The 17,009-nt window shown below is 35.1% G+C and overlaps 1 protein-coding gene across 3 annotated transcripts in view; it reads right to left on the minus strand.

The window, feature by feature from the left end:
• BRWD3 (bromodomain and WD repeat domain containing 3) overlaps positions 7,344 to 17,009 on the minus strand; it is a 140,375-nt gene continuing 130,709 nt past the window's right edge. For all 3 annotated transcript variants that reach the window (NM_001441339.1, NM_153252.5, XM_017029384.2), the window contains one exon: positions 7,344 to 15,204. In NM_001441339.1, coding sequence (NP_001428268.1) covers positions 14,450 to 15,204 — 755 coding nt within the window. In that variant the 3' untranslated portion in view covers positions 7,344 to 14,449. The remainder of the gene's footprint in view (positions 15,205 to 17,009) is intronic.

Genomic DNA, 17,009 nt, shown 5'->3' on the forward strand with positions numbered 1-17,009 from the left:
ATTCTGAGTTCCTTGCATTTCCATATCAATTTCTGCAGGTTTTGCAAAAACAGCCAGCTAGAATTTGGCTAGAGATTGTGTTGAATCTGTAGGTCAATGTGGGACATCACCATCTTAACAATATCATGTCTTCCAAACCATAAACATGGAATGACTTTCCATTTATTTAGGTATTCTTTAATTTCATTCAACAATGTTTTGTAATTCTCAGGCTACAGGTCTTGCACTTATTTTGCTAAGCTTATTTCTAAGTATTGTACCCTTTTTGATGCTATTGTAAAGGGAATGGCTTTCTTGATTTCATTTTTGGATTCTTCACTGCTAAAGTAAATAAATAACTGATTTTTGCATCTTGCTCATGTATCATGCAAGCTTGGCGTACTTGTTCATTTGTTCTAAAACATTTTTCATGCATTCTTTAAGATTTTCCGCTATATAAGATCATGTCACCTGCAAATAGTTTTACTTCCTTTCCATTCCGCCTACTATTTCTTTTTTTAATTGCTGATGTTAGAACCTCAGACACTATTGAATAGAAGTAGTGAGACCAGAAATCCTGTCTTAAGGAGATCCCTTGATCTTAAAAGGAAAGTATTCAGCATTTTACTATTAAGTATGTTACTTGCTATGAATTTTTCATAGTTGCTCTTTATCTTTTAAGGAAGTTTCCTTCTATTCCTAGTTTGCTGCAAGCGTTTATCATGAACACTGTTGAACTTTATCAAGTGCTTTTTTGATTCTAATGATATGATTATGTGAATTTGATTTTATTTTAGTATGGTATATTACATTGATTGATTTCCATATTTTAAACCAACCTGTCTTTCTAGTATAATCCCACTTGGTCATAGTATACATACTTTTTATATGTTACTGGATTTTGTTTGCTAGTATTTTTGATGACTTTTGTGTCTATATTCAAAGACTATTGGCCTGTAATTTTCTTGTAATGTCTTTGTTAGATTGGGTATCAGCATACTACTGGTGTCATGTAATTAAGTTGGAAAATATTCCTTTCTCTTGTATTTTCTGCAATAGTTGTGAAGAATTGGTGTTTAAAAAAGAAAAAAAAAAACACTTGGTAGAATTAGCCAGCAAAGCCATCTAGGACTGGGTTTTTTTGGGGAGTTTTAAAATGATTAATTCAATGTCTTTACTTGGTATAGGTCTATTCAGACTTTCTATTTTATTTTTAGTCAGTTTTAACAGTTTGTTTCTTTCTAGGAATTTATCTATTTTTTTCCGTTATTGAATTTGTTGGCATGCTGTTATAGACTGAATTGTGTTCTACATAAATTCACATGTTGAAGTCCTAACCCCCAATATGACTGTGTTTGAAGATAAAACCTTTTATGAGGTAATTAAGGTTAAATGAGGTCATAAGGCTGTGGCCCTACCCCAATGACTAGTGTCTTTATAAGAGGAGGAAGAGACACCCGACTTGTGTGTGTGTGTGCACATGCACACAGAGAAAATGTCATGTAAGAATACAGTAAGAAAGTGGCTATCTACATGTCATGGGGAGAGGCCTCAGGAGAAACCAACCCTGTCATCACTTTGATCTTGGACTTCAAGCCTCCAGAATGTGACAAAATAAATGTCTGCTGTTTAAGCCACCTGGTCTATAGTATCTTGTTATGTCAGCCCTACAGGACTAATATACCATTGTTCTCAGTATTCTCTAATAAGCCTTTTAATTTCTGTGAGGTAAGTAGTGATGTTCTTACATTTCCGATTTTAATAACTTGAGTCTCTCTGTATAACATTCCTTACTGCTTTCTGTTCTCTATTTCATTCTTTTATTTCTGCTCTTATTATTTCCTTCTTTCTGCTTGCTTTGGGTTTAGTTTTCTCCATTTTTTTCTAATTTTCTAAGCTGGAAAGGTAGATTATTGATTTGAGAACTTTCTTCCTTTTATATATAGATACTTGCTACTATAAATTTCCCTCTCAGCCCTGTTCTTGCTGATCCCATAAGTCTTGGTATATGTATTTTTGTTTCTCTCAATGTACAGTGATCCTCTTATTCACAGGAGATACATTCCAGAACCCCAAGTGGATGCCTGAAACCAGATAGTACCAAACCATATTTATATATGTCGCATCTGATAACAGCTACTAAGTGACTATGGGTGGGTATCATATACAACATGGATATGCTGAACAAATAAATGATTCGCATCCTGGGCAGGACAGAGTGGGATGTGTAAGATTTTGTCACACTACTCAGAAGGGCATGCAATGTAAAACTTATGAATTATTTCTGGAACCTTCCATTTAATATTTTCAGATCACAGTTGACTATGGCTAACTGAGGAAAGCAAAATCACAGATAAGGGTGGACTACGGTATTTTCTGATTTCCCTTATGGTTTTTCTTTGATCTATTGGTTATTTAGGAGTGTGTTGTTTAACTTCCACATTATTTTTAAATTTCCCGAGTTCCTACTGTTATTAGTTTCTAATTTTATTGCACTGTGGTAGAAGAATATACTTCGTATAATTCTGATCCTTTTAAATCTATCAAAGCTTCTTTTATGGTCTTGCCTATAGTATATTCCAGAGAATATACCACATGCACTTCAGAATGTGTATTCTGAATGGGTGGAGTGTTCTATGCCTGTTAGGTCTAGTTGGATTATAGTGTCGTTAAAGCCTTTTATATCCTTGTTAATTTTCTTCCTATTCTATACATTATTAAAAGTGGGGTATTGAGTCCCCAGATATTATTGCTGAACTATCTATTTCTCCTTCAATTCTGTCCACTTTTTGGGAGCTCTACTGTTAGATGCATATATTCATAATTTTTTTTTTCTCCCTGAGGGACTGAACTTTTTATTATAAATGGAACTCTTTATCTCTAAGTTTTTGTTTCAAAGTCTACTGCTTGTATTTACCATATTCTACCTTTCTTGTGATTGCTGCTTGCATTGTATGTTTCTTTGCCATTCTTTTACTTTCCACTTATTTGTATATTTAAATCTAAAATGTCTCCTGTAAATGAGTTTTTTTAAAAAAAATTTTATTAAAATCTGCCTTTTGGCTAGATCATTTAATCCATTCACATTTCATTATTCATATAGCTGGATTTACTTCTGCCATTTTCACTTTTCATTTTCTACATCTTATGACTATTTTGTTGGAAACTAGATTTTTAGATAATGTATTTTAGTAACTCTTGGTACTGACACCCCTAACCCTCCATGCTTGGTATTGTTATTTGCTTATGTGTTTAGTAAAAGGCTGGATTATTTTATTGAAGTCTCTTCATCCTCCCATGTGTTAAGAGTCTAATGTTGCTCCTCAGGGAGGCTCATCTTCCGGTATGCCCAACTGGGATGACAGTGGCTTGGGTAGGGGTCTCTTCCTCTCTTTCCATGCCCACACCCAGATGTTAGAATCCACTAGTTACAAACTGATTACTTAACTGTTTTCAATAATGCCCTGTGGCATAAAATGCTCTAAACAAATCCAATTAAATGCTTGTTCTTTTGAAGGAATAGTTTTTGGTCAGTGTTTGATATTGTTCTGACCCTAGGAGGACTCCTCCCAACTGTCTTATTCCTTGGTTCTTTCCGGCAAACTAGCTTGTCTACATAGTCTGTAGGTTGAATCTCTTCACTCGCCTTTCTCCACAATTACCATTGCTCTTAAAGAGTGCTCTTAAGTCCTGTTGTGACTAAAGTCAATTCCTTTGGAAAGAGATTAGAAGCTGTATGTTTTATGGTCTGCTTCTCCCCCCAGACAAAATGTCTGAGCCAGGGTTCTGGAGCTGGTTATGGGGGCAATGGCAAGCTTCCGGGGACAGAGTATGCCTTGTGTTCTTGGCTGAAGCAGTTTAGAGTGAAGTCTGTGATGCGATGAAAATAGAGAGTAGTCTTGGTTCAAATACCACAGATTCTCACCTTTCTTACTAAATTTTCACAGATTCTCTTGTTGCTTGCCTTGTAGACCATCTCCAGAGGCTTGTGTTTTTTAAAACATAGTTTCCACAAGTTTCACTGAGGAGTGAGTCATTGGAATTCTTCACGGTCATGACAGAAGTCAATCTTTCCAATGACTTTTACACTTCCTAAATTGAATTTGATAAGGCTTTCTTATGAAAGCAGAAACCTAAAGCAGTTCTATGGGATATTTGCCTTCAAATAAATAACTTTAACAAGTAGGATACAGAGCTTTTAAAGATTATAAGAAAATCGAACCTCCAATGGAAGTATGTTAGACTAGGAAGGTGCATAAAGAAAGGATAAGCTAGAAATTTTAAAGAATAGAAACAAAGATTTTGGAAATCATTTAGTGATCAACTTCAGCCTTATACGACTAAAGATAACTGAAACCAAGGAGAACAAGGAACTTGGCTAAAGCCACTCAGCAAGTCTCCAACAGCTAGTACTAAAACTAGCCCGATGAGAAGTGGCATGTATAACAGTTAAGCAAACAGGTTTTGGAAACATATCTGAGTATAAATCCTGCCATTTAACAGCAATGTGATCTCTGGTCAATTCCGTTGCCTTTCTAAACCTCAGTTTCCTCGTCTGTAAAAAAGTGTTAACAATAATACCTAATAGGTTTGAGACCTCAAGAAACATAACTATTATTATTAATGCAATAATTATAACATTAACATGTCCCTATCCCCACCAAGAATCCTTCTGCAAATTCCCCCTTCACGCACCTGCACCTCTACCAAAAAACAACACAAAACAAAACAAACAAAACAAAAAATACAATAAAAAACCCCAAAACTTATGTGAGGCCTTCCTCAAACCTGTTTCCAGTGATCTGAGGCTGCTGTGCTCATTGAAGGGACTGACATCCAAACCCTGAACACTAAGGAATTTCATTCCTCATTAATCCTTCAAACCCTATTCTCTTCTCTCCTCTAGTTAACATGGTTCCTAGAAAGATCTCAAAGGCTTCCCTTATCCCCTTAACTCTCATAATAACCACAGCACCTGACTCCAGGTCAGGCTACTTCCACTGAAACACACATTGTGAGGAATATAAGCAAGGCTACATGACAGTATCTAACCACAAAACAAAGCTCTGACCTAGATTTCTAGCTTATGTTCTCCTAATACAAGCAAAGATTAGTGTAGGTATAATCAGCTAGTCAAACCTGCTGTGCTTTATCTAGCTAGAAAACCAAATCCAATTAATATACTTTATTTTCTATTCCCTGTTTGATTTTTACAGAGATCTTTGTTGACGTAATTCAATAGTCTATCTGCTGAAAGCCAACACTTTTCCTTGGATGACGATCAGACCAAGTGGAAGTTGTTTAGGAGAGGAGAAAAGATGGCATTGTGAAATATGAATGAGACTAACATAAATGCTATGAACCAAAGGCAACTTGAGCAGGTCTAATGTCTTCTCAAGGACCACTGCAAAACCCCATTTCTTGAGAATAAAGAGAGCAAATGCACGAGTCTTTGAGTTAAATTACTTGAAACATTTCCCCCTAAAAACTCCTAATAACCACATACACTGTGACAGAATAGTTATAAAAAAATTTAAATCAGCAGTGGTTCAAGTTCACTTTACTGTATTTATAGGGCCACTCAACCTCTGCCGACCAACACTCCTGCCCCAAAGTCTTAATTAGAAAAAAAAAAGCCACAAATAATTGTTTCCAAAGGACTGGTATATGTATTGGTGTAAAGAAAGAGTGACACTGGACTGTCACGGTGGCTCACACCTGAAATTTCACACTTTGGGAGGCCGAGGAGGGCAGATCACCTGAGGTCAGGAGTTTGAGACCAGCCTGGCCAACGTGGTGAAACCCCATCTCTACTAAAAATACAAAAATTAGCTGGGTGTGGTGGCACACACTTGTAATCCCAACTACTTAGGAGGCTGAAGGCAGAAGAATCGCTTGAACACAGGAGGCGGAGGTTGCAGTGAGCCGAGATCACGTCATTGCACTCCAGCCTGGGTGACAAGAGCGAAACTCCGTCTCAAAAAGAGAAGAGGAGTGACACATTAAATAATGAGTAAAACTGAGAGACAGTTCAAAGGATGTAAAGTAAAAACACCCCAAAACAAAAACCCTAAATTAAACTTAGGGATTAAGTCAGGAACCCTGTTGCGTTCTCTGAGAACTGTACCTGAAACCCGTTTGAACTCAAAGTTCAAGGTTTTGCACTGGCAAGGAAGCATAGAGTAGGGAAGACTGCAATAACAGATCATTCTTCAAAGTCACACATTGCAAAGCACATTTGTGTATATTAGCACAGTTAATCTTCAAAATAAGATAGGAGTAAATTCTCTACACTTTTCTTGGGCATTTGCCTTTTTGTAAGAGTGTGTAAGATATACAATTCAATCATTTGAGCTTCAATCATTTTTCTACTTCCAAACCTGGTAGTTTTAAAAATTCCAAAGCACTAAGATGTTTGAAGATCCATATCTCAAGGTCCTCTTTATTAAAGATCTGAGCCAGAAGCAAAAAGAAATGTTATTTTCAAGATACACAGGCATGATTTAGAAGTCTCCATTTCATAGAGATTGGGAAGAAAGAAAGAACAAAACATCTTATTAATAAGATATAAAAGTTAAGACGAGAAACCTGGAAGCAGATATGCCGGATGAATCAAGGCTTTTCTAGTTACCAGCCATGTAGGCTTAGGCAAATTACTTGATTTCACTAAAACTCATCTTTCTGATCTGAAAAATGAAATTAACTGATGTCATTCTGATGACTGAGATTATGGACTTTGTGAACTGTAAAGCTCTTTATAAAATTATAGTGCTTGGCACATAGAAGACACTCAGTAAATGCTGAATGAATGAATAAAAAAGTGAACAAATCTAGGTAGCAACAGTCTAGTCTTTTTTTTTTTTTAAGTCATTTCTTATCACTAATATGAAGAGAACAGGCTACAACTGCCCACTGGTAAACATCTTTTTTGAAGGAGATACCAACACATGTTTAGAGAAAGAATGTGGCTCATTATCTCAGATAATTCTCTGAGAATTTCTGCTTGAATACTTACAAGCAAACTTATAAAAGGTATTTTTAGTGTTAAAAACTTGTCGTTGTGTTCAGCAGTCTTAAATTTTTGAAAAAAACGGAAAGCAAAAATGTATGTACCACAACCTTCAACTACTGTTTTGTTTTAGTAACTTCTTTTTCTTATGAAAACGACTAACCACATTTAGAATAAAAATGAACACAAATCTACAAAAGTAAAAGGATTACTTGGTAATTTCATGACTATGAGGATATCATGGGCATATTTTTTGCTCTATAGGGTCAGACTAGACAAAAACACTTGTTTTATAAACAATACTGAATCTAATTTATAAATTAAACGTACGGAAATAATTCAGAACTACCAGCACTTCATTATTAATATTTTAGATGAATAATACTCAAGGGTAACAAAACAGTACTTTTCAAATGATCTATTACACAATTTGTTATGCAAATTTCATTTAAACATATTGTAAGCTTTTTTTTAAAAGCCAAGGGAGGAGGGAACACGTTAGCAGTTTCCTTGACTTAAATTACTTAACAGACTATACAAAATTGCCAATACAAATTAACATGTTGTTATACAAATTCTAACTAGAATTGCAACATGACAAAAATCAACCACAAAAATCCTTAAAAATGAATAAGCTCCATCAATTAATATTAGTCACCTAAATTAAAGAATTTAAAATGTTTTTATTTCTTCATATATTTACTTACAAAACTTATAAAATTGAAGAGAACTGCAAAGATGCTGACCAGGCAAGGTGGCAATTCAAAATTAATACTAGATTCAGAAAGACTTTTAGGTCTCCAACATCAAATTAAATATCAATTTGTTAATTAATAACTGTTAAAACTAGATGTCTAGAATAATTAAAATTATAAGATTTTATAATTATAATTAGATGTTTATAATCTGTAGATAAGAACTTCATTAAGGCAATTGTCACAGATGGCAAAGAAAAATCTATTAAAGTTACATAGAAAGGAAAGGAAAATGTTTCCCTAGAACTTTGGGGGAAAAATCGATACCGTAAAAAGTTTACTTCATTTAATATTATTGTTTGATCTACCTGTGTTTTGTAGCATTAAAAAGCCCTTAAGTATTTATATAAATGACCTGAGAAAGCAACTGTAAGCGTATAGGCTTAACTATCCCACCAAAAATCTCATTCAAAAGATCAACTCACAGGCTCAATATATTGGTTTTATTTTGCACATTTTGGTAAAGTAGCTTTAAATTGTCAAGAACATATAATTGAGAGAGGATGGAGAGCACCTTTTTCTTGACCTTCTCAACTTGGAAAAAAAATGGATCCCCAGGCTGGAGTGCAGTGGCATGATCACAGCTCACTGCAGCCTTGACCTCCCAGGCTCGAGTGATCCTCCCACCTGTCTCCCAAGTACCTGGGACTTACAGGCACACACAACCATGCCCAGCTAATTAAAAAAAAAATTGTTTTGTAGATACGGTGTCTCACTATGCTGCCCAGGCTGGTCTTGAACTCCTGGGCTCAAATAATCCTCCCACCATGGCTTCCCAAAATGCTGAGATTATAAACGTGAGTCACTGTGCCTGGCCTTAACCAAAAATTTTTAATGTAAGATTTTTATATCCTTAAAGAGGGCTATCTCTAACCAATTAAGCAACTAAACAAAAATACCAAACAACTTATCTCCACTTCAATCTCTGAATATTGTAAAAAATCAGTCTACTTTTTTCCTAAATGCATTTTTTTTATTCTAAATACACAAAATACACAGTATATATATATCAAAGATACAGTCCAGTCTTTGGCCAGCTTATTTATCTTGAACCTAGTGGAATGTTTGCCACTGGGAGACAAATTCTGGGTAACTATATAGTTATGAATGTTCCTGTTAGAGCATTCAGATCATCTCACCTCACTTCTCTCTCTCCTACACTTACACTGAATTAAAGCACCATTTACAATGTAGGTAATCTTACTATACATTTTAAAATGTCAGGTACATATAACTCAGCTGTTAAAAGTTGTAAGTCATAAATATGTTAGAGATCTATTCATTTTGAAAAGCTCTGCAAAACAAAATGTTGACAAATGCTTTGCAGGCTGTTATTGAATGCACCAAGCAGCCCACATTTAAAGTGTAAACATCATATTTATTATCCTAAAAGTGACCCAAAGAATATTTGCAATGTCTAAGATGAAAACAAAAAACAAAACCTTTTCTTTGATAGGAAGAAGCATCCTAGTTTCTCAGATTAAAAAGTAATAGTAATAAAATATTCTATGACAAAGAAACAAGAAAGACCTAAGAGTTACATGTTACAATCTCTAAAGCTGAATAGGTAACTCCATATTTCTTTCTTCTGGTTAATTTTTCTCTGGTACATAAATTAAGGCATAAAGCAGCAAGAGTGCAATTGATTCCAAACAACTTGGAATTTTATTGTAAACATCCCATAAAGAATGGCAACAAATTAGTCCAGTTTTTTTGTCTTTGAAGATAATTGCTTATAATGACTGATAACTGCCAAACAAAACATCTTTTATAAATCAAGCCAGTTTATATTACCTTTTTTACTGAATTTTAGTTTAACGGACATTTTGCCCATATACAATATCATATCAACTATGAACTGATTTTCCATCTTAAAATGTATGGATACCAAGAACAAAAAAAAGGTACAGTTATGTTAATACTGTGTAAGACATTACAAAAGACAAGAATGATAAGTTACAGGACAAAGAAATAAATTACTGATTGCCATCACCACAGTATTGTTTAAGAATTAACATTTGTAGTACTGCCTAATGTGTATCTGGTGACATATGCAAAAACACATTTCCCAACTGGATTTCTAAATATTTTTGCATATCATTTTAAAATTCAATTACCAATGGTGGTTTCATTATGTATCAATAGTCTTATTTTTTAAGAAAATACTTATCATGCTTTTATATGTCAAAGTCTCACATTCTAGATTTAATTTAGAAGAAATGGGCATACATGTAAATAAACAAACACAACTTAATTCTAAACTGCAGGGCCTTTCTACTGTACTTCTCCCATCAATGAATCAAAAATTGCCAATCTTAAGTGTGGTAAATTAGGTGCAGTTTTCATGGCAGAAAGAAAAGTGAGGATAAAAGTAAGCAGGATTGAAAAGATGAAAAAAGAAATAATCAAGAATAAGGGTATATAGGCCGGGCACGGTGGCTCATGCCTGTAATCCCAGCACTTTGGGAGGCCGAGGTGAGGAAGGAAGGAAGGAGGGAAGGAAGAGAGGGAGGGAGGGAGGGGGGAGGGAGGAATGAAGGAATGAAGGAAGAAGGAAGGAGAAAAGAAAAAAGAAAGAAACCTGAGTGCTACCCATATTCCACAAAATATAGCACCGTGAAAAAACTTAATTTTATATTGCAATTTAATCAAAACTTGGTAAAGAAGCTTTGCTAAAAGATGAGAAACAAAAAAGCATGAAAATACTTTCACACTAGTTTTTGAAATAAGCCATAAAAGTGACTTTAGAATATTCTATTTCTGATAAACCTTTCATAAAGCCTCACGTTCCACAAAAATATTGGGGATGGGGTTAGCATTTAAAACAATGGACTTTACATGTCGAAAGTTCCATCCCTTCCCCTAGAACTATTCATCACAGAACTCAAAATGTTACTGTAATTGTTTAAAAGGCTGGACAGCAAAGTATACTGAAAATTATATATGATGCAAGTCTCCCTTTTATGGATGTGAAAATTCCAACTTGAAGATAAGTACCAGTTGGTAAATGTACATAAAATGATTTCCAACATACATCAGCTGTAAAAGGTGTTTAATTCCCCATTACCACAAACATACAAATTTTTGAAAAATGCTCAAAAAAGTTTTATCAAAAAGTTAGAAGTGGCATTTATATCTTTCTCTCTCAATCACTCTATTATTGTCTGATGACAATCTATGGGATTAAAACAAAAACAACAAAAAGATAAATAACAGAAACGTACTTAAAAGTATTAGAAGGCTGAGTTAAATATCTGAGCGCACAGTTGTGCAGAATGAGATTTCTAATTTTACTCAGTTACTTTGTTACTTTGCATCTGCGGGAAACAAAGTATTATAGAGAAGAATTCCAACACAAGCCTGATTTCTGGGGAGGGAAAAAAAAGAAAAAAAATTAAAAAGGGAAATAAAAAGAATAGAGGGACACAGGTATATGACAAAACCTGGACTGGTTATCTAGAAGGCATAATGAATGATCAAGCAGTAAATATACAGGCTAAGAGCTGTAGAGAGGCAAAAAGTTGGCAGACTGTCCTCCATACAAAATGTTCTCTTTTTTTGAATGTCTGAGATAAGGTGTGTCAAGTTGGGGAAAAAACTTTACACACATACAAGTGCACAAACACACATATACAAAAATTTAGTAAGTAGGCTAGTAGGCTAGTGAATGTTTTAGAGAGCATCCTATTGCTGAAAGAGAAACACACAGTAAGCCATAGAAGAAACACACAATTCAGATTTTATAAATATATACACACACTAAGATCTTAAAGCTGGGAATTTAAACATTATTAGCATTTATGAGAAATATTACAGCTCACTGACTATTCATATCTAGCATAGGATTAGGTTTATACATGTATATGCTCTCACGGGCCTAAATATAACAGTGTTTTTTCTTAGCAATTTAAGATTTAGGCTTTTCTTCAAAATTCTTTGTTCATTTTGTACTTGCTTTGCTATGGCTGGACCCAGATTTTACGTAGGTTTAAAGGGCCTCAAAGAAATTAAAATGATAAAGTAATCAATGTGATACTAATTACAACACATTCACAGGAGGTGGTATTACAAGAAAGCAAAGTGTAAATTGGGGGAAAAAAAAGTCCAGATATAAAAGTAAAAATACTATCTTCCAAACTTTTATTTTCACACTTATTAAAATAATTTGCATGCAAACAGAAAATTATCTGTTTGTTTAATAAATGATAACTATGTTTATCTAACATACCCTGATGACTAACTCTTTAAATCTTAATAACTGAAATAAACATTACAGCAAAATGCTGTTCACTAATATTTTCACAGTATTTCACTACATATAAAATATGCTTTAAAATGTCTTCAGCCTTATTATTCTAATTATCTAATTCTAGAAAATCTTGACATTTGGGAAATAAATGTGGCATTTTTATTTTTCAAAATAAATTATAAATAAAGCTCCAGATAGCCAAAATCACACAAATGTCAATTCTTCTACATTTCAAGAGGTCAGCTCTTCATAGAAGAATGTCAACAAAAAATTTCAAACTAAAATGATACATGTGATCCATATTTGGGTATATCCAGGAATTTAAGTAACTATGTTACTTAGATCAGGATAAGCCAAAGTATTATTGATTTCAGGAATACAGGCACAATTTAGTCTAAATGCCCAAGAGATAAATAACCGAAACAGCACATTTTAGCAAAAATCAAATGTAGTTTCAAATAGGAACGTTTTGAATCTCTACTATGGTTTAAAGTGGCAGCTGAGTTACAACCAGAAGTAGTTTTGGTTTAGTGAAAAAAAGACTACAACAAAAAAATAGCTTGGTCTGCTGTCTAGTAACAGAAGTTAGTGCCATTAACAATTCACAATACTTTCTCTTAAAGCCTGAACATCATTTCCACTGCAAGTGAAAACTGCTTAAAGATGTTAGTCCAAGAATAACCCTACTGCCGACCCTACCAAAAAAGCAAAGTTTTATGTGTGTACGCCTTCCTCTGCACTTAAGGGTTTTCAGATGCATGAAATGATTGAAAGCATGAGACAAACACATTAGCTTAAGAAATATCCTGGGATAGCTAGGTATATACTAAGAAGTCTGTTTTATCCCATGAGCCTGATCTAAGTGCAACAAATTTGCTGTTACAGAAACAGAAATTGCTATTATCCCTCTTACCTCAGAAATGTAAGTATCTAACAAATGAACAAATCTGTAATATTAAATTTGGGGAGTAAAACTGACCTTGGAACTCAAGCTCACTTATGGAACCATGTGCACTCTACTGCTGTAAACAAGACAATAAGGGTTTTTAAAGATGTTTTTTATCTATAAAATAATGATTCACAACATGAGTGTGCAGTGCAATAAGGTTCTTTCCTGAAAGACTAGAACAGAAGAACCCTTTGGAATGATATGAGCAGAATCTATAAGTTGATTCATAATACTAGCTAGCCAAAACATTCCAAATCAAACCAGGTGCTTTGTTAAATTTTAAGATTCAAATGAAAACCAGCAACTCACAGCTGTTAAATGGTAAGTGGAGCAGAAATATATAAGCAGTAGCCCAAGTCTACTTACACAAATATGTTCTAAGAAAGCCTAAGGTGGTAGAGCATACTATATTTATGAAACTTTGTTAATTACAATTATTAATTTGAGAGCCAATACAATTATTAACAACCTCTCAGCTTATAACTTATGGGGTATTCATTCCTACTAAGCTTGTTCTATTTCTCCTTAGTCAGTAAGGAATAACAGCATCTATTTTCCTTAATGTTTCCAGTAGTTGTAGTTAAGAGGTAGCTGAGCTACTGTTCAAAGAAGTTGTTCTTTGTGGATGAGGATTTTTCAAATGTTTAAGTTATTTAAGCTACACAAATTCTATTAATGCAATAAAATGTGATAGGAAAAAAATTGATGCGGGAAACTTTTGCATTTGGCACCTTGTCTAGATTGATACCTCAAGTATTCTTTTTTAATAAAGTTAATGCACACATCAGAACACACCACGAAGATCTGCTACATATTTACAAGGCACCAACCCTTTCTCACCTTTAACGTGAATTATGCAAATCAATGAAAAGCATATCAAGATCCCCCCACCCCCCAAAAAACTGTAGTATAAATATATACTTCAGTTCAGTACAAGTCATGAAAGTTTGGCCTGGGAAGAGTAAAATAATCCAGATCGCTCTTACAATATAGAAACTGTAAACATTTAATAGCTGCCTTTAGGATTGGTGTATTGTGCAAAAGTTATTATTACTGGGTATAGGAATCAAAATGGCAAAAACAAACTATATAAAACTCTGTAAGAAGGTGCTATACTTCTGTGATACAAAAGCAAAAGAGGGCTATTCTATTGAGATAAAAATGTCATGCTACTCTTAAGAAGCTGAATGCTCCTTTAATGTAGTAAATCTGTAGTGTCTGTGTTGTGTTTCGTGTGTGTGTGTCTGTGTGTGTGTATGTGTGTGTATGTGTTTGTGTGTGTGTGGGCAGAATTTCTTTTAATTTAAGGCCTAATGAGTAAGGCTTATTTGAACAAATGAAGTGTGGAGATCAAAAGTCTTGAAACAAATGTATACTGGCATAAATGGAAAAGCACCAATGTGAAAGGAAGCAGAAGTCCCCACACAACTTGCTTTGTAGATTTCCTGGTAAATTCCCTGCAGTAGAAGGCCATTGAATTTTTTAAGTTATTCTAAATTTATTAACTGTTAATAATTCCATCCCATGAGATGGCTAACCCTGGCTTTTTCTGTCATTTTACGCACTCTGCCTGATCTGGATGTACCAAGATTCAGAGGATCCTCAGTGGACACAAAATTGTCATTATCAGAATCATCATTATATAAAACAGTCCTCCTGCCTTGGTTTCTTGTTTTAATTCGAGGCAGTCTACTGAAACGTCCTGAAAACATGGTATCAAATTCATCATCTGCAATACGTGCTCGTTTGGCTCTGGTAGCTCCTCTAGAAGCACCTCTTCCTCCTCTCCCTCTTCCCCTCCCCCTAGTGCCACCTCCACCTCTTCCTCGACTCCCTCGTCCCCTGCCTCCTCTTCCTCTGCCTCCTCTACTCCATCTACCCCATCTTCCCCATCTGCCTCTTCCTCCTGTGCCTCTGGTCTTCCAATTTCTTTTTCCATTGCCATGTTGCTTTCTGAGTTTTCTTTTAGGTCTGGTTTGTATGAATTTGCTATAATCATGGTCTCCATCTACGTAATCTTGATCTGTTCTGGAAGTTGATTCAGAGTCAGAGTCAGAACCACAGGTACTTTCAGAACTTAAACTGGATCCTAACTCTCCACTCTCTGAGGTGGATAAATGAGATTTCTCTTTTGTTTCTTTTTTCTCTTTATCTTCTCCTCCCATGTTTTCATCTTCTTCTGATGCACTAAGTAGTTTTCTCTTGATTCCTGTCCGGGGCTCTCTGCCATCACCATTTGTAAGGGGTCCATCAAGGGAGTGATCTAAATTAAAATGAATGATTTTTAATAGTTAAGCTTTGACATTGACAAAATGGTTATTTAGGTTCAAAAACAGTCTACAGTTCCCAAAAATATGTGGAATACAATCATGGAGGGTGTCAGACTAAGAACTTAAATTTCTTCAAAATAGAAGATATTAAAGTGTTTATTTTTGTCTGCTTTTTTGGGAGAGGGAGGAGAATATGGGGGTGGAATGATGGCCATGAGGTTTAGGCAGAAGTTTTAAGGGCCTACTTCAGGAAGAATTACCTGAGAACACTAATTAGTATAGTTTCATTCATTCGGTTGATAAATTCTTATTCATTATCTACTATTAGCAAGGCATTGCTAGAAGCTTTGAATACGGCAATGAAAGGGACAGTCCTTGCTGTTGGAATTTATATTTTAGTGGGAATACCTTGAAAGATAACAAAGTGAATAAATTAATAATAAAATTTCACACAGACATGTTATAAAGAGGATTAAAAAAAGAGTGTATATGTGTAGAAGGGAATGTATTTTAGATAGGGAAGACTTCTCTACAGAGGTAGTATTAGAAGAAATAACTGAATGAAGTCAGATGTAGGGAAAGAACATTCCAGAGGAGGGAACAGAAAGCAAGCCAGTATAACCAGAGTGGAATAGAAAAACAGTGAGTAGTAGGAGATGAGTGCCAGTGGAGAGTTTTAAGCTGGAGAAAGAATCTGATTTACACTTTTAAAATAGTATGGTTGCTGTATATAAAAAAGATCACAGGGGAGGCAAGACTGAAAGTGGAAGGAGAGACCAGTTGGGCATCCACTGCAGTATTCTAGGTAAGACATGACAAAGGATATGTCAATAGATGTGATGATAAGTGATTATATTTGGAATATTTCCTTCTAGAGAAACCTTTAATTTCAAAGGTTGAACTGATGGGACTTGCTGACAGACTATATGTCAAGTGTCAAGCACAGAATGAAGACTGACTCCTAGGTTTTATGGCCAAAGCAACTGGGTGAATGGTAGAGATATTTTGCCAAGGTAGAGAACACTGAAGGAGCAACAGGTTTGAGCAGGGCTCAAGATTCCATTTTAGATGTTGACAGAGATCCAAGACAAGACATTTTTTTAAAAAAAAGAAATAAAGAGCAGGTAGATATACCAGTCTGGAGCTCAGGGGAGAGGGTAGAGCTGGAGATATAATTGCGGAAATTTTCAGTAAAGAGATAATATTTAGGGTAATGAGAACTAGGAGAGCTCACTGAGTGAGTAAGTAAAGAGAGACAACGTGGCTGAAGACTGAGACTTGAGATGTTCAAACATTTAAAGATAAAGAAGAACCAACAAAGAAAATGGAGGACCAGCCAGTGGGGTCGGTAGGAAACAAGAGAGCAGACTGGAAGAATTGAAAAGAAGACTAGGGCTGTAGATAATTACAAGATTAACCTAATAAGTCTGGGTGTTATGGACTGAATTGTGTCCCTTCAAAATTCATATGTGGAAGCCCTAATCCCCGAAGTGACTGCAGTTGGAGATTAGGGCATTTAGGGAGGTAATTAAGGTTAAATGAGGTTATATGGGTGGGACTATAACTCAACAGGACTGATGTTCTTAAAGGAAAAGGAAGAGATACTAGAGGTATTTCCCTCTGTCTCTCTGTAGAGGCAAGGCCACGTGAGGACAAAGCAAGAAGGTGGACATATAGAAGCCAGGGAAAAAGCCCTTATCAGATACCCACCCATATGGCACTTTCACAATGGACTGAGCCTCCAGCTCTGTGAGAAGATGAATGTCTGCTGTTTAAGCCACCCAGTCTGTGGTATCTT

The sequence above is a fragment of the Homo sapiens genome, chromosome X (genome assembly GCF_000001405.40).
Source record: "Homo sapiens chromosome X, GRCh38.p14 Primary Assembly".
In the NCBI taxonomy this organism is placed as follows: Eukaryota; Metazoa; Chordata; class Mammalia; order Primates; family Hominidae; genus Homo; species Homo sapiens.